Below are 24,749 nucleotides of genomic sequence, written 5' to 3'. Positions count from 1 at the left end.
CCTGAAGGTTGTTTAAAAGGTTTCACTAACAACAACAACAACAATAAACATCATGGATCCTTAGAAAGGGGATACACGGTGCAGCATTTCCCATTCCATTTCATTGACCATAGAGTCCTATTTTGGGCTGCATCTCTTGAGAGTGTGTTCCATGCGTCCAGCAGAAGAGGCTCTGGATGCTTCTTGCTCAGTCAGTTTAGCACCATGGGCTGGGTCATGCGAGATGCGGAGAGGAGGGGTACATATGCACTTCATGGTGTGGAGAGCTGCAGGTGGCTCCTCAGTGCATGGTGGTCTTTGGTGCTAAGGGTTCCAGGAAGCTGTGCAGCATTTTGGCTGCATTAGATATTAACTTCTGCTATTCATGATGTCAGGGGTCCAATTTCAAATCTATCACTCAGCACTCTTCTGTAAGAACAGTACACAAAGTTAAATATTAAAATTTTAATGATGGGAAAGGGGTATGGAGATAATTTTGGTATATTAATGTTTCATGGTGGTGATGGGGTGTGATGCCAATTGTTACTACAACTTGCTACCTAGGAATAGCACTGAGGGGCTCCCTACCTCCTCCCCTACAGAAGAAGTCTCCCCTTGTCACTTCCAAACACATACATTCCCTAAATTTCCCATCATTCCCTAAACTTCAGTCTCTGAAGCTCCAAGGAAACCCCATAGGAAAAACTTGCTTCTCCCCTTCACTGGGCAGATCGACCACCATAGGTGTGTGTGGAGATTGCATGCCCTCCTATTGACACAAGATTAATTATTTAGAGGCTGGTGATTGCACTTTAAAGTGGGAATTGCTATAGCTTCCAAAGTGGGAAGGAAGAAGGGAGGAAGATGTAGATCAATGGGTGTGATAGCCTGATGGTCTGGGTGTAGCTTTATTGTTAAGGCTATATCTTTAGCCAGGAGAGACAGCAAGATTCACAATATTGAAAGCACCCTTAAGAGAACCAAACTGGTCAGTTAGAGTCAGCCTAGTGTGGCATTTCAGATGGGGGCGTTTCAGCTAGAGTCAGCTGTCCATGCGGTGAGATGTAAGGGAATGCTTCATAAGTTCTCTAGCCATAAATAGGGCTACCTATAATTTTATCACTAGAGCTAAGTCAATGGTATGGTTTGACTGTGTCCCCGCCCAAATCTCATCTTGAATTGTAACTCCCACAATTCCCACATGTCGTGGGAGGAACCCGGTGGCAGGTGATTCAATTATGGGGGTAGGTCTCTCCTGTGCTGTTCTCGTGATAGTGAATAAGTCTCACGAGATCCAATGGCTTAATAAGGGGAAACCCGTTTCTCTTGGCTCTCATTCTCTCTCTTGCCACTGCCATGTGTGACATGCCTTTCACTTTCCACCAAGGTTGTGAGTCCTCCCCAGCCACGTGGAACTGTAAGTCCAATAAACCTCTTTCTTTGGTACATTGTTCAGTCTCCGGTATGTTCTTTATCAGCAGCATGTAAATGGACCGATACAATCACTTTGACTCTTAGAGATTTTTCTATATTCAAGAGCCCTTGGAAAGCCAGGCATGGTGCCTCATGTTTATCATCCCAGAACTTTGGGAAGCCAAGGAAGGAGGATAGTTTGAGACCAGGAGTAGGAAACCAGCCTGGACAATATAGGGGGACTCCATTTTTACAAAAAAAAAATAAAAATTAGCCAGGCATGATAAATGTGGTCCCATGGCAAATGGGACTACATGCCTGTAGTCCCAACTAATCAGGAGGCTTAAGTGGGAGGATTGCTTGAGTCCAGGAGTTGGAGGCTGCAGTGAACTATGATTGCACACTGCACTCCAGCCTGTCTCTACAAAAATGAGCCCTTGGAAATTCCTGAGATTTCCTGCTATCAGCTAACACTGTAGCTGGAGTGGAACTGAGGGTAGTAAGAATGAAGAAACCATGCCTTGGGGGTCCCTGGTGTGTGTACCTGACGCCAAGGAAGTGAGGGTGACTGTTTAAGAAGTATCTGCAGAGCCACGAAACCGATTGGAGAGGAAGTAGGGATCTTTACAGGCTCACATACATCCCTCACCTCATATCATTTGGTGGTTTGAGAGATGAGGCAACATGAGTTTTGCTGTTGAGTCATGGTCTGAGTCCTACTCTCCAAACTTAGGGGCAGGGAGGGAGAGAGGGATGTGCTTTGACCATGTGCAGAGCCCCTCTCTCCAGGCCTTGTCCCAGGAGGTTTAGTCTGTGTCTTCCAGGGGGATGTGAGCGGTAGTTCTCTAAATAGGTGACTGCAGCAGGTGAGACAGGGAGTCTACATGATCCTCTCTGATGGAACCAGCACTAGAGAGGCCAGTACATTAGTCAGGGTGCTTCAGAGGAACAGAACCGATAGGAGTTCTATATCTGACATAGAGGTATATGTACATATCATACATATATACGTATATATATATGAGGGGATGTATTGTGGGAATTGGCTGATATGATCATGGAGGCTGAATAGTCCTGCGATCTGTCATCCGCATGCTGAAAAGCTGGGGAAGCTGGTGCTGTAATTCAGTCTGAGTCCAAAGATTCGAGAACCAGGTTGGCTGCTGGCGTGCTTCCCAGTCCAGTCTGGAGGCCTGAGAACTGGATTGGGTGGCAGACTTTGTAAGTCCTGGAATCTGAAGGTCCGGAAACCAGGAGTACCAACGTGGCAGGGAGGAGAAGATGGAACTTTCAGTTCAAGAAGAGAAAGAGTAATCTGCTCTTCCCTTGCCTTTTTGTTCTACAGGGCTCTCAAGGGATTGGATCTTCTTTACTCAACCTACTGATTCAAATGCTAATCTCATTCAGAAACACCCTCACAGACATACCCAGAAATAACATTTTACCAGCTACCTGGGCATCCCTCAGCCCAGTCAAGGTGACACATGAAATTTACCATCACATGCAGGCAGGGAGAACTTCTGGGAGTCCTGTTGTGGAGTCCCATTAACTCCCTGAGTGGGAAGCAGACAGGGACATCAGAATTCTGCAATGAAGTTTGCCTGGGAAGCAGCCCCCTGCAGCCCCTCAAAGCACAGGCGTCTTTCGTGAGTCTCAGGCTTCAGTGGCTGTGCTCTCTCTGTGTAGGCAGATGACTGGGGGACACAGAAGAAGAGCCACAGTAAGATGCAAGTGGGTGATGACTCCCAGGAAGTGGGTCTGCTGGGCTGGAGCAGCCACCATGAGCTTGCGTGGAACCTGGAGAGGGTGGTCCTCGGTAGAAGTGGCAGCTATGCAGGACTGCCCTGCTGAAGCTGGCTGCAGGGCCAACTTTTCAACATTGTCTTGGAGGCTCTTCCTGGGGAAAACAAATGTATGTGTTGGGGGGCATATGGATGGAGTTAGGGAGAAGGTGAAATTATCAAACTTGGTGATGCGAGATATTTACAGAGCTTGCTTTGCACTAATCTGAGCTTTCTCGGGCCCCAGTAACAGCCTGAAGAAAAAGTGGTCCCACAGGCTTCCCCAGTGTTAATGGGGCTGTGTGGAAGCCAATAGCAAAAGCCCCAGGCTGGGCGCAAAGGCTCGTGCCTGTGATCTTAGTGCTCTGGGAGGCTGAGATGGAAGAATTGCTGGAGGCTAAGAGTTCAAGACCCACCTGGGCAACATAGTGAGACCCCCCCATCTCTACCAAAAAAATTTTTTTTAAATTTTTAAATCCTGAAAAACAAAGGACCCAGGAAGACGAGGGTAGGGCGCCTGAGTGGTCGCATTCATGGAGGCCCATCAACACAGCAGGGAGCAGTCTATTACTGACAGCAGGCAGGCCCAGGCAAGAATCCCGGCACCCGTCTTTTCACAACCTCCTCCCTGAGCCGGCTCTTCTTGGTGGAGACCACAGAACCTCACTCGCAGCAGGTGCTCAATCACTGCTCACAAAGCAGACAGGTAATTGAATACAGCAGAAAATGGCACAGAGGGGAGGAAGGGCACACGCAGAGACTTTCTGTCTTTGCGGTTCTGTACAAGGCTGTGCCCAAAGCCACTGACGTTGGCTTTATATTATCCAAAGGGGCAAGCGAGTGACCCTACCCAACCCAGAAATCCTGAAATATTCAGAAGCCCTAATGTTTGTGTGAGGAGAGAGCCGAGCCTCTTTCCGATGGGAAATTCAATTATTCAGTAAGGCTAGAGCTCTCTGGGTGTCCAGAAGTGCTGGAGCACACCGGGAGGCTGAGGTCTCTGTCCCACTGATTGGAGGCCGCTTTGCTGCCAGTGGGGATGAGAACTGGAGGTCCTGCCCCAGAGACCCACCAGCCACCTGCCCTCTGTTCTGCTCCACGGGTGCTGTGGGGCTTCTTCCCAGAGTACTTAAGCTCTGGGGCGCTACCCACCCCCTCAACAAAACACGCAATTAAAGTGTGACAACAACCTATTTCTTGCTACAGAATGTATTTCTGATTCAGACTAGGCTTTGGTTTGAGGCAGGTGACTATTGCAAACACCCACTTCAGCTGCTGTCAGGGTCTGGCACCAAGAGTTGTGTGAATTTAAGGTGACTTTGTTCCAACAGAGCTTGTCATTATCTGTATAACATAAACAAAGGTGTACACAGGTATACAGTAGTTAGATCTTTCTCCTTTTCCGGGAAGTGTTGTTCCCAGCAGCATCAAGCTGGGGAGACAGACATTTCGCTATTCTGCGAGTCCTGGGGTGGGGAGGGGGCAGCTGTCACACAGCCTTAATCTGGCTGCCCCCAGCCCACGCAGAGCAATACGATGAGGAATGCTCCGTCTAGCACGAGTGGCAATGGGGAAAGGTTGAGAGTCCTGCTGCATTCTACATGGCTCCTAAGGGAAGAGCTGCTACAAAGATGAGCTCAAGTACGGGTTTCTGTGGTGGAAATATGCTTTGGCTCATTCATGCCTTCAAGAAGCATTTATCCTACTATGTGCCAGGCATACAAGGAGTGGCATAAATGTTTTCAAAGAGTCTGCAGTTGTGTGGTGGGGTGCACCTGTACTCAGCTACTCAGGAGGCTGAGGCAGGGGAATTGCTTGAAACTGGGAGGCAGAAGTTGCAGTGAGCCGAGATCGTGCCACTGCATTCCAGCTGGGGCAACAGAGCGAGACCCTGTCTCAAACAAACAAACAAACAAACAAACAAACGAACAAACAAAATAAGAGTCTGTGGTTGTATGAAGGAAGCAGCTGCATACATTGTTTCAAAATACCATGAAAAATACTAGAAAGGAATTGTGTCATTGTTCATTCACTCATAACAGCTAAAAGGGGTTTAACCTGTCCTGGGTGCTCCAAACTTGGTCCACTGACTTTCAAGCTAGACCAGACTGCTTCCCAATGGAGAAAGGCATGGGAAAGGCAAAGGTGGAGGAATTGCAGAAAAGAGGGATGAATTCCAACCACTGAGATCAAGTTCATGGCAGGCGGCTGTGTGGTTTGTGTTCATTCCTCCAGCGGCTGCTGCAGCCTTTCCAGGAGAACTGCTCCCTCTCCAGAAGTGTGAGGACTGCCACCCTTCTCTCCTCCTACTGTGCCTCAGGGTCACCCAGAGGGTATCTTCACCAGCTGCAGGGACTCTGCTACCATGCTGGGCTTTCAGGCCCCATCCTGGGAGAACAGAGGCACAGCTGTGCTCCATGCAACACAGCCTGATTCAGTCCTCAAGTGGAGGCAGGAGGAAGGTCATGTCTCTGAGACATCACACGTTTTGCAGAGTCCTTTAGTCCTAAAGTTCCAGCCCTGGCTCCTGGTGCGTTTCTAAACTAGGGACCTGACAATGCCCACAGCGCCACCATGATTCAATGGATTAGCCACCGCCTCCAGCTTCAGGTCAGTTGCTGATAGGAATGACATTTGCTAAGTATCGAGGGAGCAACTGTCTTTCTTTCATGGAGAATGGACTCTGCCTCATCCTCACCACAAGTGGAACAACGCTAAGTGCTGAAAAGGTCAGGCAGAGCCTCCTTGGGGTCCTAAATTCCAGCATCCCCAATCATAGTGATGGACAAACAGGAAGAATATGATAGGACATTCACAATACAGCCGAAGCTGATGCCCAACAAACAAGGAAAGACGTGGACCCCACAGCCACCAAAGAAATGCAAGTTATAAACATGGAAAGTTTTTGCTTATCTCATTGGTGGAAATTTACTGCCGAGGATGTGGAGAAATGGGTGTTCTCACCCCTCACCCACTGCTGCTGATGGGGATATACATTGGTGCAAGCTTTCTGGAGGGTTGGTTATTTGGCAATTTATATATGAACAGCCTTGAAGTGTTCATACACTTTGAGCCAGTAATTTTAGTTTTAGGACTTTATCCTAGGCAATAATCAAATTTATGTACAAGATTTATGTTCAAGAATATTCATCTCAGCCATTAGTGTAATGGAAAAAATATCAGAAGCTACCCAAATGTCCCACATAGGAGGTTGGTTAAATAACTGATGATACAACTAAAGAATGGAAAACAATTTATTCATTAAAAATGGTTTTCTCAGGGCTGGGCGCGGTGGCTCACGCCTGTAATTCCAGCACTTTGGGAGGCCAAGGCTGGCGGATCACGAGGTCAGGAGATTAAGACCATCCTGGCGAACATGGTGAAACCTCGTCTCTACTAAAAATAGAAAAAATTAGCAGAGGGTGGTGGCATGCACCTGTAGTCCCAGCTACTCAGGAGGCTGAGGCAGGAGAATTGCTTTAAATTGGGAGGCAGAGGTTGCAGTGAGCTGAGATCGTGCCACTGCACTCCAGCCTGGGCAACAGAACAAGACTCCATCTCAAAAAAAAAAAAAAGATTTTCTCAAAGAATATTTAATGATGGAAGGAAACAGTGAAAAAGCAGGGCACAAGATGCTGGATGAAGCATTTCAATTTTGTTGACATTTGATAATACAAGTAGAGAAAAAGTTATCAAAAAACAGCAGGTATATTATTACAGGGGCATTTTTTTCCTTTGCATTTTTCTGTATTTTGTTTACAATAGTGAATCACATCTTCTCTCTGAGCCCCAGTGTACCGTTCTGTAAGTTGGAAGTCATCATGCCTATGTCACATGATGCTGAGAAGATCCACTTCAATATTTTTAAAGCATCCTGCACAGTGACCAGCGTATTATGATACTCAGTGGATGGTTTATGATATCATTATCTGCAGTTGCCAATGAGACACACCTAGTCCAGATATTGATCATAACAATTACTAAAGTTGTTCCTCCTCACTGTTTTTTTCGAGACTAAGTCTTGCTCTGTCACCCAGGCTGGAGTGCAGTGGCACGATCTCGGATCACTGCAATCTCTGTCTCCCTGGTTCAAGTGATTCTCCTGCTTCAGCCTCCCGAGTAGCTGGGATTACAGGCACGTGCTACCACGCCCAGCTAATTTTTTTGTATTTTTAGTAGAGACGGGGTTTTGCCATGTTGGCCAGGCTGGTCTTGAACTCCTGACCTCAAATGATCCTCCTGCCTCGACCTCCCAAAGTGCTGGGGTTACAGGTGTGAGCCACTGCACCCGGCCTCCTCCCCACTTTTTACCAAGATAACAAAAGGATTAATTGAAAAAAACCTAAGTTATTTTTACGAAAGTTCTAGTGTTAACCTTCTGTTCTTTTTCACAAGGATGGCTGGACTTTAAGCCTTGTGTCCTGTGTAATAATCTCCATTCTTGCCTAGTTCAGAGTTCCCCTCATTCAAAATTCAGGCTCTGTTGATCTTTAGTATCTCATCCCCCTACTTATCTCAGGTGATTCTATGTTGGGGTGATGCATGCAACATATTTACTAATTACAGAGACTTCCAGTCCCTGTAGTTATAGTAGCTCATAGCTCTGTTTTAAGTAATGTTACCTTCAATGACATTGAAATACTGGTTTGCCCTTAATGCTCTCTGCAAAATGTGTTTTTTGCCTCTTGATTCGGTTTTCTAGCTCTCTCCTTTTTTCTCTTTCTTGGGTCTGTTTGTGTCTGATCTGTTGCTCACATTCTCTTGAGGCTGAGATTTATATTCTGAGCATTTAGGTGAGAAAAATAACTTCTAACTCGGGTCAGAGTTGAAAAGAACCCCATCTGCACAAAAATTTAAAAATGAGCAAAATACATGTCTTTTGAGACACTATTAATTAGTCTTTGGCTGGCATAGCATAGAGTTTTATTAGTTAACTAATTCATACCTATCAACTAAGAGTTCCCCACTAATGGAATCATTCAGGAGCTCTGAACGGGTGCCCAGCACAGGTGGTAAGGCTGAGGTAACTGGCAGTCTGTCTTTTTTATGTACAGGTATGAGAGCATCTTCTTTTCCAAGTTACACATTCCCAGCCCATCTGACTCATTTAGAGGAAAAAAACACTTTCACCTGCCAAAGTGATTAGAAAAAGATACAGCCTACAGAGAAGAGGGCTATCGTGGGGAGGCATTCTCTTATTTGTCCAGATACGAGCCTGAGCTCCTGATTCTATAAGACACACAGTCTTATAGAAATGTTATGTGACAGATGCAATGAACAGCTCATGGCCGGGCGGCTCACCCAGGGTCTTTGCCGCTGACCATCCAAAGATGAGAAAGCCCCAGTTCTACTGACCACCACACTTTCCCCACCTTGGAAGGAAAACAAGGTGAGGCAGAGAGGAGCATCCAGCATCATGGTTGGAGTTGCACAATTCCATTTTGACTCCTACGAAAGTCCCAGACTCAGATGGCTGGGCGCATGCAAGCTGTGGGCTTATGTATACAAGGGTTTGTGGGCATGGGTGTGTGTTGCAGATGAGAAATGTCCTAGTGCCATGCAGCTCTGGTCCAGGGAAACTTGAGCTCCAAGTGAGTGCTCCAGATTTCAGTAGTGACCCTTTTGATGACAGAATGAGGTGGCTCTCTGACCCTGTTTCTCCTCTCTGAAATGGGAATAATACCTACCAACATCTTGCCTTCCAGGGATGCTGCGAAGGCTCCATGAGCTAATGAATGTGGAGTGCTTTAAAAATCAGTGGTGCCCACAAGTGGCATTGTTACCCCTGGCAGAAGCTTCTGCTTTCTTAATCCATTTGAGGAAAAACATCCAGCTTCTCTCTGATGCCATCTGCTCGGGAGGTGTTCAGCTGGAAAAGGATTATGTGGGTTTTAGTATATAAATGATGTGCAATTTGTTCTGTTTATAAAATAACTTATTCTCAATGTAAGGAATTCAGAAAATACTGAAAACATAAAAAAAGGAAACAAATTTCAACCATAATCCCATCATATAGAGGCAACTACTTTCAGTGCTTTTTGGGAGTTTGCTCATTTCGTTAGCTAGACAACTAGGTCAGTTAGAACCCCCTGACCTCATGGGAGAAGGCGCTCCCTTGTTTTGGGATTCACCCATTTGTGGTGCCCAGGTCCCCAGCCTGCTCTCGACTCTCTGACATTGGCTTGCTTTCCCAGGTACAGAGTAAAGCTTGAGTTGACTCCATGGCTTCTTCAAGGGCCCTGCTTTCAAGACTGAAGGATGACCACCTGCCCTTGGGAAATGTTACTAAATATCAGGACCTCAAGTTGGGCGGGACTGCCAGGAGGGAGAAGGTAGTGTCAGGGGAAAGGCGTTGACATTTCAAACACAACTGGCTACTCTAGCCTCATGGCAATGGCTTTAGTAACTTCACAGCTGATCCCTGAGATTGAACATCAGGACTATTAAATGCTAATTGAGTTGAAAAGCCTTCCCCAAATGCTCTAAAACTTTTAGGCAGTAAAGAGCTCCTGGCCACATCTGGAGCTGTGTGCTGGGGACCACTCGGCAACACGCTCTGCCCACCTCTGCTCCTGTTCATCTTCCCCTTCTTGACACAGCATGACTGCTATATACAAACAGGTGTTTTTCTTTTTAAGCAGAATGCCCATTGCTGTGGCTGCTGAGTCAATGCTTTGGAGTGAGCTGTTTGCTCTCAAACGTGCAGGTGCCGCAGCCATGAAGCCTGGACACTCTAATGTGTGCCTGGGGGTCCTTCCACTGTGTTTTTTTCAGAGATGCTGATTAGGCAATACTGCAGTTTGAATGAACTTCACAGGAGTTTCCCCAGGATGGATGTGATTCTTTTCTTGTGCCCAGAAGAAAGATCCTCTGTGAAGCTCTCATTGACATCTTTGCCCCTCCCCACTCTCTGTTCTTTTTATTTTCTCTTGCTCCCCTGTCCCACTCCCAGGAGAAGATCTGAAAATTACATCCAAAAGTAAGATTGTTGGGGAATTGTGTTTTGTATTTACCCTGAAAATAAACTGTCATTAAACAGGTGAGGAGGCAGAGAGCCAGGCATTAGTCAAGTATCTGCCTTGCTGCTGGAACCTGTGTCTTCCCATCTGAGTCCAGCACCTTCATCACCCTATTACATTGTGAGACAGAGCAAGGACCCCCACCCCCCAAGCCCCGCCTTAGGGACCTGTGGGGTCCCCCAAGCATGGAAATAAAGAAAAATCTAGAGTTCCTTCAAGGGAAATTCCAGGCACCCAGCTAGCCTCGAGAAGTAAATCAGCAACTAGATAAACAATAAGGTAATAGCAGCCTAAGGCAGCAGCCAAGGACGTGGGAGGCAGGAGATGTTTGGTTCCCTATGGAAACTGAAGGTAACATCTTAGCATATGTCCCTGGGTTGTTTTTCACAAACCGGGACCCCCTTCTCAATAGATCTGCTGACACACAGACCTCAGATAAGGAGAAACTAAGGACTGAGCTCTGACCGCTGTTCTGCGTTCTAAATTTCTTCCTAAGGGGCCTGGAGGAGGTCACACCCAGGAGCCAGAGCTAACATTGTTTTTCTGCTGATCCCAAATTTTTAGACAAAACTTTGATTCCTTAACCAATTGTGAACCAGAAAAGCTTTGCATCCACCTATGACCTGCCCTCGCTTCGAGGTCTGTTTTTGGGTCAAACCAATGTATAGCCTCCAAGTACTGACTTAGGACTTTGCCTGTACCCTCTGCCTCCCTGCCTTTCAAAGCCCTTACCTGTAACCCATCTGAGAGCTCTAGTCTTAAGCATGAGCTGCCCGATCCTCCTTGCTTGCTGCCCTGTAATAAATGCCTCGCTTTCTCTCCCTGCAGGGCCAGCATCAGTGTTTGGCTTTGCTGCACAAGGCCAGTGAGCCCCAGTTTGGTTCAATAACCATCAGTACCTCCTCTTCTCTAAAGGAGGCCCACACCATATTTTGAAAATAAGAGGCCAGGCATTGAGACCATCTCAGCTGAGAGAGCAGGAAGAGACCACGCTCCTGTTGCTCTCTCTGAAAGATGAGGATCTTGCAGGCTACACGTTGTTTCTTCTCGGCATATTGCAGGGGCTCCATTCCTGTAGCACCCCTGAAATGCCACCAGACATCTGCATCTGTGATTCTTGATCATCGCTGAGGAAATGAATGACACAATGCCCATCATGAATCGAGGGCTGATGTCATAAAGGGGACCTTGCCATATGGCGACAATATTTGTGGAGCTTTTTGCCAGCTAGTATGTAAATGCTTTATATGTGTTCACTCACTTAACCCTTCCAATAACACTGTTAAGTTAGGACCTATTACAATGCCTATTTTACTGAATGGGAACAGAGGTGCAGAGTGGTCAAGTGTAGAATCTTGTGATTTTAGTCCCGACACTAATATATATTATGTAATAGATAACTTATGATACATATTGGCCCGGCACGGTGGCTCATGCCTGTAATCTCAGCACTTTGGGAGGTCGAGGTGGGTGGATTACTTGAGGTCAGGAGCTTGAGACCAGCCTGGCCAACATGGTGAAACCCCGTCTCTACTATAAATACAAAAATTAGCTGGGTGCGGTGGCGGGCACCTGCAGTCCCAGCTACTCAGGAGGCTGAGGCAGGAGAATCGCTTGAACCTGGGAGATGGAGGTTGCAGTGAGCCAAGATCGTGCCACTGCACTCCAGCCTGGGCCACAGAGTGAGACTCTATCTCAAAAAATAAAAACAAAAACAAACAATAAAAAAGATAACTTATGATACATACTATACGTAATGTTTCATGTTATATTATTATATATATTATACATTTTATGTGTTTCTTATAATCTTCACAAAAACCTTGTAAGGTAGCTATTATTACTCTTATTTTATGGATTAAAAAATAGAGAGTCTAACAGCCTGAGAAATGTATACAATGTCACTAAATCTACTAACAAATCATTGAATGGCAATTTGAAACTAAGTAACACCTTTTTTCCCCCACAAAAAATCTATGCTTTGTTCATGCTCCACCAAGACATATTCTGGTCGTGACTTAACGTTACTCTCCCAAGCTGGTCACTAAAGCAGATGATAAGGTGCTGATGCTTTACCAGAAATCACCAAAAGGCAGCATCAGGCAGGAATCATAAAAAGGTTGAGGAGCTGGGTAATGCATATTGGCTAAATAGTTCCCTGGAAAGCAGAACCACCTTTCAGAGATCTCTCTGGCAAGCAATGCACCCGGGTCTACAAGAGAAGCTTGTCCTGAACCCCAGGTGCCTTTCAGAAAAGCAGGGCAGAGGACTCTTCTGCAAATCTCTGAAGTTAACAGCAAATGGAACGTTCTTTCCTGAGCACTGTCTTGTCTTTTAAAAAATCCTATGAGAGGAAAACACATTATACCTCCAGCTTAGCCATAAAGATTACCATATTTGGTTAGGCATAGTTTGAACAAGAAAGAATACTGTCTTTTAGAGAACAGAAAATGGTTTAAATTGGGGTGTATATAAATACAAGCTTTGGGAACTAAAAAAGGAACACATAAATTGAATATGTTTGTATCATAAACTTGGCTTTAAGAGAAAGGTTGGTAAGGGAACCATTTTATTTAAATGAAGAGGAAGCTTCAAGCAATACTAAGCAGCTGGTAAACCCCAATTTGTGGGCTAATGTTGAAGTAAGTTAATAAAGTGACCTTAGGGAAAGATCAAAGTGATGTTTTATAGAATTCTGGAGCTAAAAGGGACATTGGAGAATATCTGCTCCAAAGATCTCATTATAAAAGTGCAGGAACTGAGGCTGGAAGAGTAGGGGTGACCTCCCTATGCACACAGAGATATAGTTGTTGTGCATAAAACCCATTAAATATTTTTTTATTTGTATAAGTTTAAGGGTTACGAATACATGGACATATTGACTAGCTGTGAAGTCTGGGCTTTCAGGGTAACCGTCACCCGAATAATGCACATTGTACCTATTAGGTAACTTCCCATCTCCACGTCCCCCTCACCACCCTACCCTTTCTCATCTCCAGTGTCTGTTATTCCACACTCTATGCCCATGTGTACCCATCATTTAGCTACTTCTCATTAGTGAGAACATATGGTATTTGACTTTCTGTTTCTGAGCTGTTTTACTTAAGATAATGGCCTCCAGTTACATTCGTGCTACTGCAAAAGGCAACCAGTCAGAATGGCTATTACTAAAAAGACAAAAAATAACAGACTTTGGTGAGCAAGTGGAGAAAAGGGAATGCTTATACACTGTTGGTGGGAATGTAAATTAGCCCAACCTCCATTGAAAACAGTATGGAGATTTCTCAAGGAACTGAAAATAGAACTACCATTCGACCCAGCAATCCCACTACTGGGTATCGACCCAAAGGAAAAGAAGTCATTGTATCAAAGGGATACCTGCACTTCCAGGTTTATTGCAGCACTATTCACAACAGCAAAGTCAGGGAACTGACCTAAGCATTCATCAAAGGATGATTGGATAAAGGAAATGTAGTATGTATACACAGCAGAATACTATTCAGCCATAAAAAGATTAAAATCATGTCTTTTTCAGTAAATATTATTTTTGAGTAGTTGTGTGGATGTGCGGATGAGAAAACGGAAAAGGTGGAGAACATTTGCTTTCCTAGTTTATGACCATTCCTCTTTAATAGTATTTGACTTCAAAACCTTACTTTCTCCCTATGTTGAACACTCTTTTTTTGATTAGATGTAAACAGTAAGGTCTCGTTAAAGAAAAGAATAAAGTCAAGGACTTTAAACGTTATTTTATTTATTTATTTATTTTTGAGACAGGTTCACCCAGGCTGGAGTGCAGTGGTGCGATCTTGGCTCATTGCAGCCTCCACCTCTCAGGCACAAGCAATTTTCCCACCTCAGCCTCCTGAGTAGCTGGGACCACAGGCATGCACCACCATAACCAACTAAATTTTATATTTTTTTTTGTAGAGATGGGGATCTCACCATCTTGCCCAGGCTGCTCTCGAACTCCTGGACTCGAGTGATCCTCCTCCCTCAGCCTCCCAAAGTGATGGGATTACAGGCGTGAGCCACTGTGCCCAGTGTTTTGTTCTTTAAAACAATATGTACAGATGATACAAAATCAGAAAGTTACAAAAGCTCTAGACTTAGGAAAGCATCTGGATCTCACCCTGGCTCCAACTGGGCAGCACCCCTTCCTGGTGGGTCTCACCCACTGCTGATGAGCCTCACGTGCCCTTCCAAGGTATTCCAGGCATGCACATGCACATTTGCAAATGCGCACTGCTCTTTCTTTTTCTGTTCTTACACAGCTGTTAACACTCTATTCATGGCATTCTTCACCTTGCTTTTATTATTTAGCAATGCACCTTAGGGACTGCTGACATATCAGGCTCTACTGAATGGCTTCTTTTCTTCTTAAATGGCTGCATAGTCTTGCATTGTCTGGAAGTACTATAATTTATTTAATACATTTGGGTCATGTCCTCTTTTTTGCTATTTCAAACAATGCTGTGATAAATATCTTTGTACATACATCATTTCACACATGTGGGAATATAACTGTAATATAAATTCCTAGAAATGAAATCATGGGGACAAAGGGGACATGTCTTACATTTTTTCGATATTGCCAACTTTCTATACCACTAGCAAAATATGGAGGGCCTGTTTGCCCACACTACAGCCAACATACAGCATTATCAAGCTGTTTATCTTTTTAAATGTTTAGGCTAAGTGAAATTGTGATGGGTGAAAAAATCTGACTGTATTTTTTTAAAATCTGCATTTGGAGTTGAGTATTTTTTTATATGTTTAAGAGTTTTCACAGGAAAAAATATGCTGTTTCTTTTGCTCATTTTCCTGCTGGTTACTGGTCTTTTCCCTTACTGATTTATAAGAAATCTTCATAAATCATAGAAATCAGCTGTTTATCTGCTCTATTAAGTGTAAATATTTTATTTTTATTTTTATTCTATTATTATTATACTTTAAGTTTTAGGGTACATGTGCACAACGTGCAGGTTTGTTACATATGTATACATGTGCCATGTTGGTGTGCTGCACCCATTAACTCGTCATTTAGCATTGGGTATATCTCCTAATGCTATCCCTCCCCCCTCCCCCCACCCCACAACAGTCCCCAGTGTGTGATGTTCCCCTTCCTGTGTCCATGTGTTCTCATTGTTCAATTCCCACCTATGAGTGAGAACATGCAGTGTTTGGTTTTTTGTCCTTGAGATAGTTTGCTGAGAATGACGGTTTCCAGTTTCATCCATGTCCCTACAGAGGACATGAACTCATCATTTTTTATGGCTGCATATTATTCCATGGTGTATATGTGCCACATTTTCTTAATCCAGTCTATCGTTGTTGGACATTTAGGTTGGTTCCAAGTCTTTGCTATTGTGAATAGTGCTACTATAAACATACGTGTGCATGTGTCTTTATAGCAGCATGATTTATAATCCTTTGGGTATATACCCAGTAATGGGATGGCTGGGTCAAATGGTATTTCCAGTTCTAGATCCCTGAGGAATCGCCACAGTGACTTCCACAAATCTCCTTAAGCTGATAAGCAACTTCAGCAAAGTCTCAGGATACAAAATCAATGTACAAAAATTACAAGCTTTCTTATACACTAATAACAGACAGAGAGCCAAATCATGAGCGAACTCCCATTCACAATTGCTTCAAAGAGAATAAAATACCTAGGAATCCAACTTACAAGGGATGTGAAGGACCTCTTCAAAGAGAACTACAAACCACTGCTCAATGAAATAAAAGAGGATACAAACAAATGGAAGAAAATTCCATGTTCATGGGTAGGAAGAATCAATATCGTGAAAATGGCCATACTGCCCCAGGTAATTTATAGATTCAATGCCATCCCCATCAAGCTACCAATGACTTTCTTCACAGAATTGGAAAAAGCTAAAGTTCATATGGAACCAAAGAAGAGCCCACATCGCCAAGTCAATCCTAAACCAAAAGAACAAAGCTGGAGGCATCACGCTACCTGACTTCAAACTATACTACAAGGCCACAATAACGCGTAAATATTTTATCCCTTTTGTTACTTGTCTTCTGATCCCACACCCCATTAACTTTGCAGAAGCTTTTTTTATTGTTGTGATCAAATATGTGGACCTTTCTCTTTATTTGTGTTTGGATTTTGTGTCATACTTAGACACTTTAAAAACTATAATATGAAATCTTCTTACGGTATACTTTGAGTACTTTTAATAGTTCCATTATTGTATTTCAACTTTTAATATATCTAAACTTTATTTTATGTAAAATATGCACTAAAGAATATAGCTTTATTTTTGCAGGTGTTTAAACAGCTGTTCCAATATTATTTATAAAACAATCCACGTTTACTCATTTGAAATGCTATCTTTATTACATGAATTTGCGTCTACTTCTGCCCTTTCTATTTGAAGCCATTAATTGGTCTGTTTAGTCAAGAAACACTACGTTATTTTAACTCCTATAGTTTACAACGTATTTTAATAGTTGTTGGGGTTCTACTTAAAAAAAATTTCTCACTCTTCTTGCTTATTTGTTTATTATGAAAAATAAAATCAGTTTGTCACTTTGTCCCTCTTCCTCCCCAAACACTGTGGGTTACATTACTTTTAAGATGAATTTAGGGATAATTGACACCTTTATGATGCTGCATATTTCTCTTCAAGCACATGGCACTCATTTTATTCATTAAATTGTTCTTTTATGTCTGTCAATTGCATTTTGAAGTTTTAATTACATAGATGTTACACATTTTTAATATATTTTCTAGGTATTTTACTTTATTGTTACTATACTTTCATTATATCTCCCAAACAATTTCTATTTTTGTTTATATGAAAAGTATTTAGTTTGATATATTAATTACATACCCAGTCATCTTTATCAATTTTCTTATTTGTACTCTTGTAACTATTCTCTTATGCTTTCCAAGTATACAATAATATTATGTGCAGATAATAATAGCTGTACTTCTTTTCTCCCCAAATCCATACCTCTTTTTTCTTTCATATAATTATATAGGCTGATGTCTCCAGAACAATGTTAAGTAAAAACGGTTGCAATAGATATACCTATTTTGTTTCTGATGTGAATGAGAATAGTTGCTATATTTCTACATTTATCTGGCTTTTGTGGTGATCTCTATACATGGATATACACAAATATACATATGTGAGTTCTACATTTTCTATTAAGTAACCTTTTATTCCTATATCATTAAAAATTTTTATCAAGAAGAATTGCTGGTTGGTGGTTGGAGAAATGTTGGTCAACGTATACAAAATTTCGGTTAGGAGGAAGAAGTTCAAGAGATCTAGTGTACAACATGGTAACTATAGTTAATAACGATGTATTGAATACTTGAAAATCACTAGGAGAGTAGGTAAATAAGTGTTCTCATGACAAAAAAAAAATGCTTGCATGAGGGAATGCATATGCTGATTAGTTCAATTTAGCCATTCCACAATGTATGCATATTTTAAAACATCACATATTTGAGGTTATTTCCATTTTATTTTCTCTTATGTTGAATAATTGTACTTCTCTCTTTTACTTGATTGGGTGAGTTAGCAATTTATTAATTTCAGTGTCTGCTTTAGTCAAAGCGTCATAATTTAGGAATTCATTCTTCCAGTTTTAGTTTCCAAATTTATTAATTTCTGGTGTTATTTTAATTAAACATTAATTTACTCTAGGCGTATTTTGTTGTCTCTAATTTGTAGTATATTTATTTTTATTTTATTTTGATTATTAATAAAAGTTTTCAAGGCATTCTTGTTTATTAATGCATTCTTAAGGAGTTTTCTTCAAAACACTAGTTGTATTAAATAGTTTCTATTACATAGTATTTTAAAAACTATTTGTGCTAAACTGACACATGTCCCTATAATGCTCAAGTCAGTATCCAGATCTTAAAGATTCTTGAGTAGAAAAGTAATTTATAAACTCATTTGAAAGAATTTTCTACTCTAATATTTGGGAGAATAAAATCAGGTCAGATTAACATGAGTTCGATAAGTGTTAAAAGAACTGAGTTGTATTTATTGTTTAATGTCCCCCATACCTCGTTTCCGAATGGTCTCTTTTGAATTAATGTTCATGTTTAAAAGGATTGATAATTTTTTCACTAAGTAATACCTAACAAATAAAAAATCACTATCATCTTTGGCCTCCAAAAGTCCTTTCAAGTAACAGTCTTAAGAGGAATTATTTTAAAATTCATAAAGAAGAAACTATAATATACTTCGTAGTAATGTACTTCAGTGAAGGAGAGTTCACCTGAAAAGCAGTGAATGGTTTGGCACTCTTCCATATATAAATTAACAGGAAGTAATGCATTACTCTCATGTAACATTATTCAAATTCAAAATACATTTATTGAGAATTATGGTATGTCTAGCACTGTGTTGATGAATTTAGCTACATTATCTAATGTAGTAACCCTCCTTAATAGTGTTGTAAGATAGGTGCTGATTACCTTTTAAAGTCATGGAAGCTGAAGCTTAGAGAAGCTCTGGGTAGAAAAGGACATATGTGAGAATTAACGCCAGATCTGCTGACTCCTGATCCAGCACTTGCCAGATGAAAAAGAATGAGCCAAATATCGGTACACTAGTCTTTTCTTCCATCCTGCTATGCTACGAAAACGGCAATTATGTTAGAAGTGTCATTCTTCCTTGAAGCATTTATTGAGCACCACTTTGTATAAGACCCTCCTCCAGAGATCTCCCAGTGGAAGAGATCTCTCTGCCTTCAGAGTGTGTCTGTTCATGCAACAAGGGGGAACAGGCTGTAGGACTTGGAATGACAGAGCATGCCAGGAACAGGAGGAGGAATTTAAGGAGAAGTGTGCAGACCGGGATTCTGGAGGGGGCTCTAAAGACTGAAGATACAGTTGGAGGCTCTGAAAGGCAGGAATATAGCAGGCAGGAGGGGAGGCTGCCAATAGTGTAGGATACCATCTATTGTAACCTACAGTCAGGCTTATGTACCATGCTTTGTTTTTAATGTTCAAACGTTGAAAATTAGTGAACTCGGGCCGGCGCGGTGGCTCACGCCTGTAATCCCAGCACTTTAAGAGGCCGAGGCGGGCGGATCACAAGTTCAGGAGTTTGAGACCGTCCTGACGAACATGGTGAAGCCCCGTCTCTACTAAAAATACAAAAACAAAACAACAAAACAAAACAAAACAAAACAAAACAAAACATTAGCCGGGCGTGGCGGCGGGCTCCTGTAGTCCCACTCGGGAGGCTGAGGCAGGAGAATGGTGTGAACCCAGGAGGCAGAGCTTGCAGTGAGCCGAGATCGCGCCACTGCACTCCAGCCTGGGTGACAGAGCGAGACTCCCATCTCAAAAAAAATAAAGAAAATTAGTGAACTTAATGGCAACAACAGTGACAAGAAAAAGGAGAGGCAAAATAAAAGGAAAGAAAAGGCAGTTTACGGAAACCACGAACAATCACAATTTGGAAGGTAAAAGATGTTGGAATCTCATCCTTTCCGTTTTTTCATCTCCATGGAGAATTACATATATAATTTTTTTTTTGAGATGGAGTTTCACTCTTGTTGCCCAGGCTGGAGTCCAAGGGCACAATCTCTGCTCACTGCAACCTCCGCCTCCCAGGTTCAAGCAATTATCCTGCCTCAGTCACCCAAGTAGCTGGGATTACAAGCATGTGCCACCACGCCAGGCTAATTTTGTATTTTTAGTAGAGATAGGGTTTCTCCATGTTGGCTAGGCTGGTCTCGAACTCCTGGCCTCAGGCGATCTGCCCACCTCAGCCTCCCAAAGTGCTGGGATTACAGGCATGAGCCACCATGCCTGGCCTATACTCAAACTATTTTAATGAGGTGAGGGAACACTCCCATGGAGTAAATTGTATCCCTCCCCTACCCATATTTATGTTGGAAGCCCTATCTCACCTGTCCACGTGACTATATTTGGAAATAGGGCCTTTATGGAAGTGGTTAAGGTTAAACGAAGCCATAAGGATAGGGCCCACCCTGATTCCACAGGATTAGTGTCCTAATATGAAGAAACACCAACTAATCAACGAGATTAGTGTCCTCATAAGAAGAGACACCAAAGAGCTTCCTCTCCTCCCTCCATGTGAGGACACAGCCAGAAAACTGCCATGTGTGAGCTGGGAAAAGAGCCCTCAACAGAGCCTGACCCTGAGAGACTTTGATCTAGGACTTTCAGCCTCGAGAGCTGTGCAAAAATAAGTTTCCTTTGTTTAAGCCACTCAGTCTGCACTTGGTCTGTGGTATTTTGTAACGGTAGTTTGAGACGATGAATGCAAGCACACTCATATATCTCAGAACTCTTCTCTAAAACTAGAACTCTTCACTAATCTCTCATAAACACCAGTGGCCTTAGCAGTGATCAGAAATAAACAAGCAGCGATGAGGTGAAGTACATCTCCCAGAGCAACTCAAGTTAAAACATTAAGCAGGTCTTCTGTTAATGACATATATCCCACCATCCTGAGGTAGTTGCAGGCTAGGTTAGGGACCCTTCAACATTTGGTGGAGATGTTTGAGGAGATAAGTTGGAAAAGTTGAGGGTAGCTTTGTGTAGAGTTGCTTGTGTGTATAGAAACTTACAAAGATGTGATGTTTAGGAGACATTCCTAGTCTTTAAATGTGAAGTCAAGAAAGAAAATCCTTCCTGGGAACATACTTGGAAATGAAAGGTCATGCTACATGGGCCAAGGTTTAAGTCAATGATACAATTCTTTCATTCATTCATTCATTCTTCAATAAATATTAATATTTATGGAGCCCTAGTGTGCACCAGCCCCTGTGCTCTGGTCACATCAAGAAGCTGCTTGCTTAGATCCTCCCACTTACATCCTCATGTGTCCCTTTTTTTTTTTTTTTTTTTTTTTTTGAGACTGCATGCCACTCTATTGCCCAGGCTGGAGTGCAGTGGCACAATCTTGGCTCACTGCAACTTTCCTCTCCCAGGTTCAAATGATTCTCCTGCCTCAGCCTCCCAAGTAGCTGGGATTATAGGTGCCAACCACCATGCCCGGCTAATTTTTGTATTTTTAGTAGACACAGGGTTTCACCATGTTGGTCAGGCTGGTCGCAAACTCCTGACCTCAGGTAATCTGTCTGCGTTGGTCTCCCAAAGTGCTGGGATTACAGGCATGAGCCACCAGGCCCAGCCCCTCATACCTCTTGAAAAACACTTTTTGCTGATCTTCTTGGGACTCAGAATGTTCTATTGGCCAGGACTCTGACGAACTTTTGTTTATCTACCACTCAAGACCTTCAGCATCAGGATGAGGAGTCCAGACATATTTTCCAAGCCCAGTCTCCAAGAAGATCTGTGATTACTTCATAACCTCAGAAAATATTTTCTTAACCAGTCGGGATGGTGAATTCCAGCTAGGACTTCCTGTGGAACTGACTATAAACTTTATTAAAACTTCCACTCATGAATCCACATTTGTGCTCTTATTCCTGCAGACCAGGCCATTCCACTATGCCCACTACGAGGGCAGAAGAACCATATTTCTTTACACAAATGCCACCCTCAGTGGCACCAAGGAGGAAGAATCATGAAGAGAACACTGGTTCCTAGACCCTGTAAATCACAGAAGCCTAGCAGTGCCTCAGAAGTTGGAAAAAAGATTCAAGGCCAGCCCTAAGCACAGCAGTGGCTCTAAATATGTTGGCAGCTCTGTCCTTTTCCAGCCCTTCAGTATCTTGGGCTGTGGAGACTTTTTTAAGGAGCTTGTGTCAATTTCAAAGCTTTCCTCTGGAAGTCTAAGCCCTTCTTAACAGTTCTTTAATAGCTAAAAGGCAGAGTTGGATTCTGAAACTCCGTCACTCAGACATTTTGTAAAACTGATGTTAAGAGGATTTAAGCCGAAATGTTGGCACCGTCATTCTTTTCTTTCCCATCTGTCACTTTCTTGATCCTTGGCCCCCCTCAGACAACCCACCCTGATTAGAAATGGGAGTAATTTTAATGAATTTCAGCACTAAGGAGTCATTTGCTGAGGTTACCTGAGAATAATCCCCCACAACCCAACTCCTGAGAAAAATCAGTAATGTGTTCTGTAGTCATTATGCTATGACTGTATGTCATACTGGTCTCATAAATAACTTTTAGCCTAAAATCTTTAAAAAAAATTAAGTATTTGCTGTTCTGTTTTTCCCCCCTAGGAAATCTAGGTGAAGAGGTGGAGATGCATTCCCTCCAGTAAGACTAGAGATGAGATTTTCATGTCCCCTTTCTTCTCACTGGCTCAAAAATCAGCATAGACTGATTTGTAAGAGAAAGAAGTTACCTTTAGGAATATCTGTCATGAGGGTCTAATGTGGGAAATTGAAAAGGAAAGTAGGAAGTATAAGGAAGGGAAGAAAGATGAGAGGGTATCTCCAGGGGACATGGAAGCCTCGCCTGCAGGAACACTCTTTGACAGCATTCCAACAGGAGGAGAGGGTCTTCCTGTTTCCTAAGATTTGCGGAGGGGCTGGCACTGCCTTCCAGTCTAGGATCCAAGATCGCCTCTTTATAGCCAGCCCATCTGTCATCTGCTGCAGCTTAAAACCCGCCCCCCTGCCCTGGTCTCCAGGGCAGTTGGTCATAATTGGGCATTCCCTACTTTTTACACGTGGGAAGAGACCTTGTTTAAAACAGCCCCTCCTCCCCCTTTTTATGATGATAAAGTGAAGTAAAAAAAAAAAGTGTTTGTGGCTCAGACCTATAACCCCAGCACTTTGGGAGACCAAGGTGTGCAGATCCCCTGAGCCCAAGAGTTCAAGTCTACCCTGGTCAACATAGCAAGAGCCCATCTCTACAAAAAATTTTAAAAAATAGCCATGTGGTGGCCTGCACCTATAGTCCAAGCTACTTGGGAGCTAATGAGATGGGAGGATCGCTTGAGCTGAGAGGTCCAGCCTGGGCGTCACAGTGAGACCTCATTTCTTATAAACTAGCTGTTGAAATAGAAGCAACTCTCATTAAGAAGAAGAAAAGAGGTTTTGTTTTTTGTTTGGTGGAGAGAGGGAAATGGGGAGAACCTATCAGAATCTTATTAGCTCCTGTTTGAGAAAGGTTGTTCAAAACCTTTGGCAAAGACATAGAATAAAAGGCTCAGCACTCTACCAGCAAACCAAGAGGGGCAATGGTGGGGAGAAACCACTGGAAGCTGCAGTTCTGGGAGCTGTTACAGAGGAAACCGCCCAGTCTTCCTGTCTTCTGGGGGAATAGCTTGGAAGAGATGGTTCAGATGCTGGGGAGTGCTTCTAAGCAGATCTGAATGGGAGGAATAAAAGTGTTTTTCTCTAAGTCTAAACCAAACTAAACATTTAGGTAACCAAAGCCCGTGACTGGGATGTGTAGTTAATTTCCACTTCACAACATTTTGTATTTTTTTTTAATTTTACTTTAAGTTCTGGGATACATGTGCAGAATGTGCAGGTTTGTTACATAGGTACACATGTGCCATGGTGGTTTGCTGCACCTATCAACCTGTCATCTAGGTTTTAAGCCCTTCATGCATTAGGTATTTGTCCTAAGCATTTTGTATTTTTTAAACTTTGAAGTAAATAGATGATTAAGGTAGTTTCTATTGTAGCTACCTTCTATTGAAGGCAACTATTGTATAGTAAACTCTTGTAGAAAGAGTTATTCTTGAGATCTGTCTTTTCTAAACACGTGATGCTGTCTTGAAGTGACTATACATTAGAATAATCTCATTTTTCCTTAATAATTTTGGGTATCACCATAATATCAATTATTTTCCCCAGTCACCTTATAATGTAACCAGTTGGCTGTGCTGCAGTGATTGGAAAGAGGTACAGCTCATCACTGGTCAGAGAAGACTTCTAGTATGAGCCCGTCCTGAACATGAGGAGTACAGAGGAGTCTTCAAAAATGTTGGTTTGCTTTTTCCATCAATCACCTGTCCATCTTAACAGTGACCAACTCGTTCCATCTTAACAGTAACCACTTCTGTTGAGCAACCAGGAGTTCCTTCCCTTTCTTGCCTTCCACTTCAATTCATTTCTCACCTCCCTTCAGTTTTTCTACCCCAACCTCACCCACCCCCAGGACTCCTCGTTTATTTCAAAGGGGGCAAATATACCTGCCCTGCAACACTGAGATAGAAAGTGCTTCCTCCAAATACGGCAGACCAGTGTCTCCTTGCTTGTGTTTGTCATTAATACTTTTCCTGGGTAATGTACATGCAGTCTTTGCTAAAGCACAACTGCCCAGGCCCTACTTACCAAGGCTTCTTCTGTGCTGGAGAAAGAGTAAGGGAATAGAGAAGAGGGAAAATGAGGTCCTGCCACCATCTCAATGCTTTTGGTGCTGCGCTTTCAATGGATGCTGAGTGGGACTTGTGTGTCCCAAAGATGGGATACTTCACTCTCTCCTGAGTGCTTTGAACATTCCTGAGCGACCTTTGGGCTAGATGTTACCTGAGCATTCTTCCTTTTGTTAAAGTGGTCAGTTTCCCCCAGCTGTGAATAGAGCCGATCTGCCCACTTTCTCATCAACTCTCCAGTGCTGGGATTTCTATACATGTTTGTCTAGGAGAAT

General features: G+C 42.9%; 1 long non-coding RNA gene across 1 annotated transcript; it reads right to left on the bottom strand.

Moving 5' to 3' along the window:
• Positions 1-86: 86 nt before the first annotated feature.
• Positions 87-24,749, bottom strand: LOC105379389 (uncharacterized). Its single transcript, XR_949703.3, has 3 exons — positions 24,434-24,749; positions 2,888-3,289; positions 87-408 (listed from the first exon to the last, which is right to left on the bottom strand). It is a non-coding gene; the product is annotated as an uncharacterized LOC105379389 (long non-coding RNA).

The sequence above is a fragment of the Homo sapiens genome, chromosome 8 (genome assembly GCF_000001405.40).
Source record: "Homo sapiens chromosome 8, GRCh38.p14 Primary Assembly".
Lineage (NCBI taxonomy): Eukaryota > Metazoa > Chordata > Mammalia > Primates > Hominidae > Homo > Homo sapiens.
The sequence above is the reverse complement of the archived record's forward strand: the minus strand, read 5'-3'. Positions and strand labels throughout refer to the sequence as shown.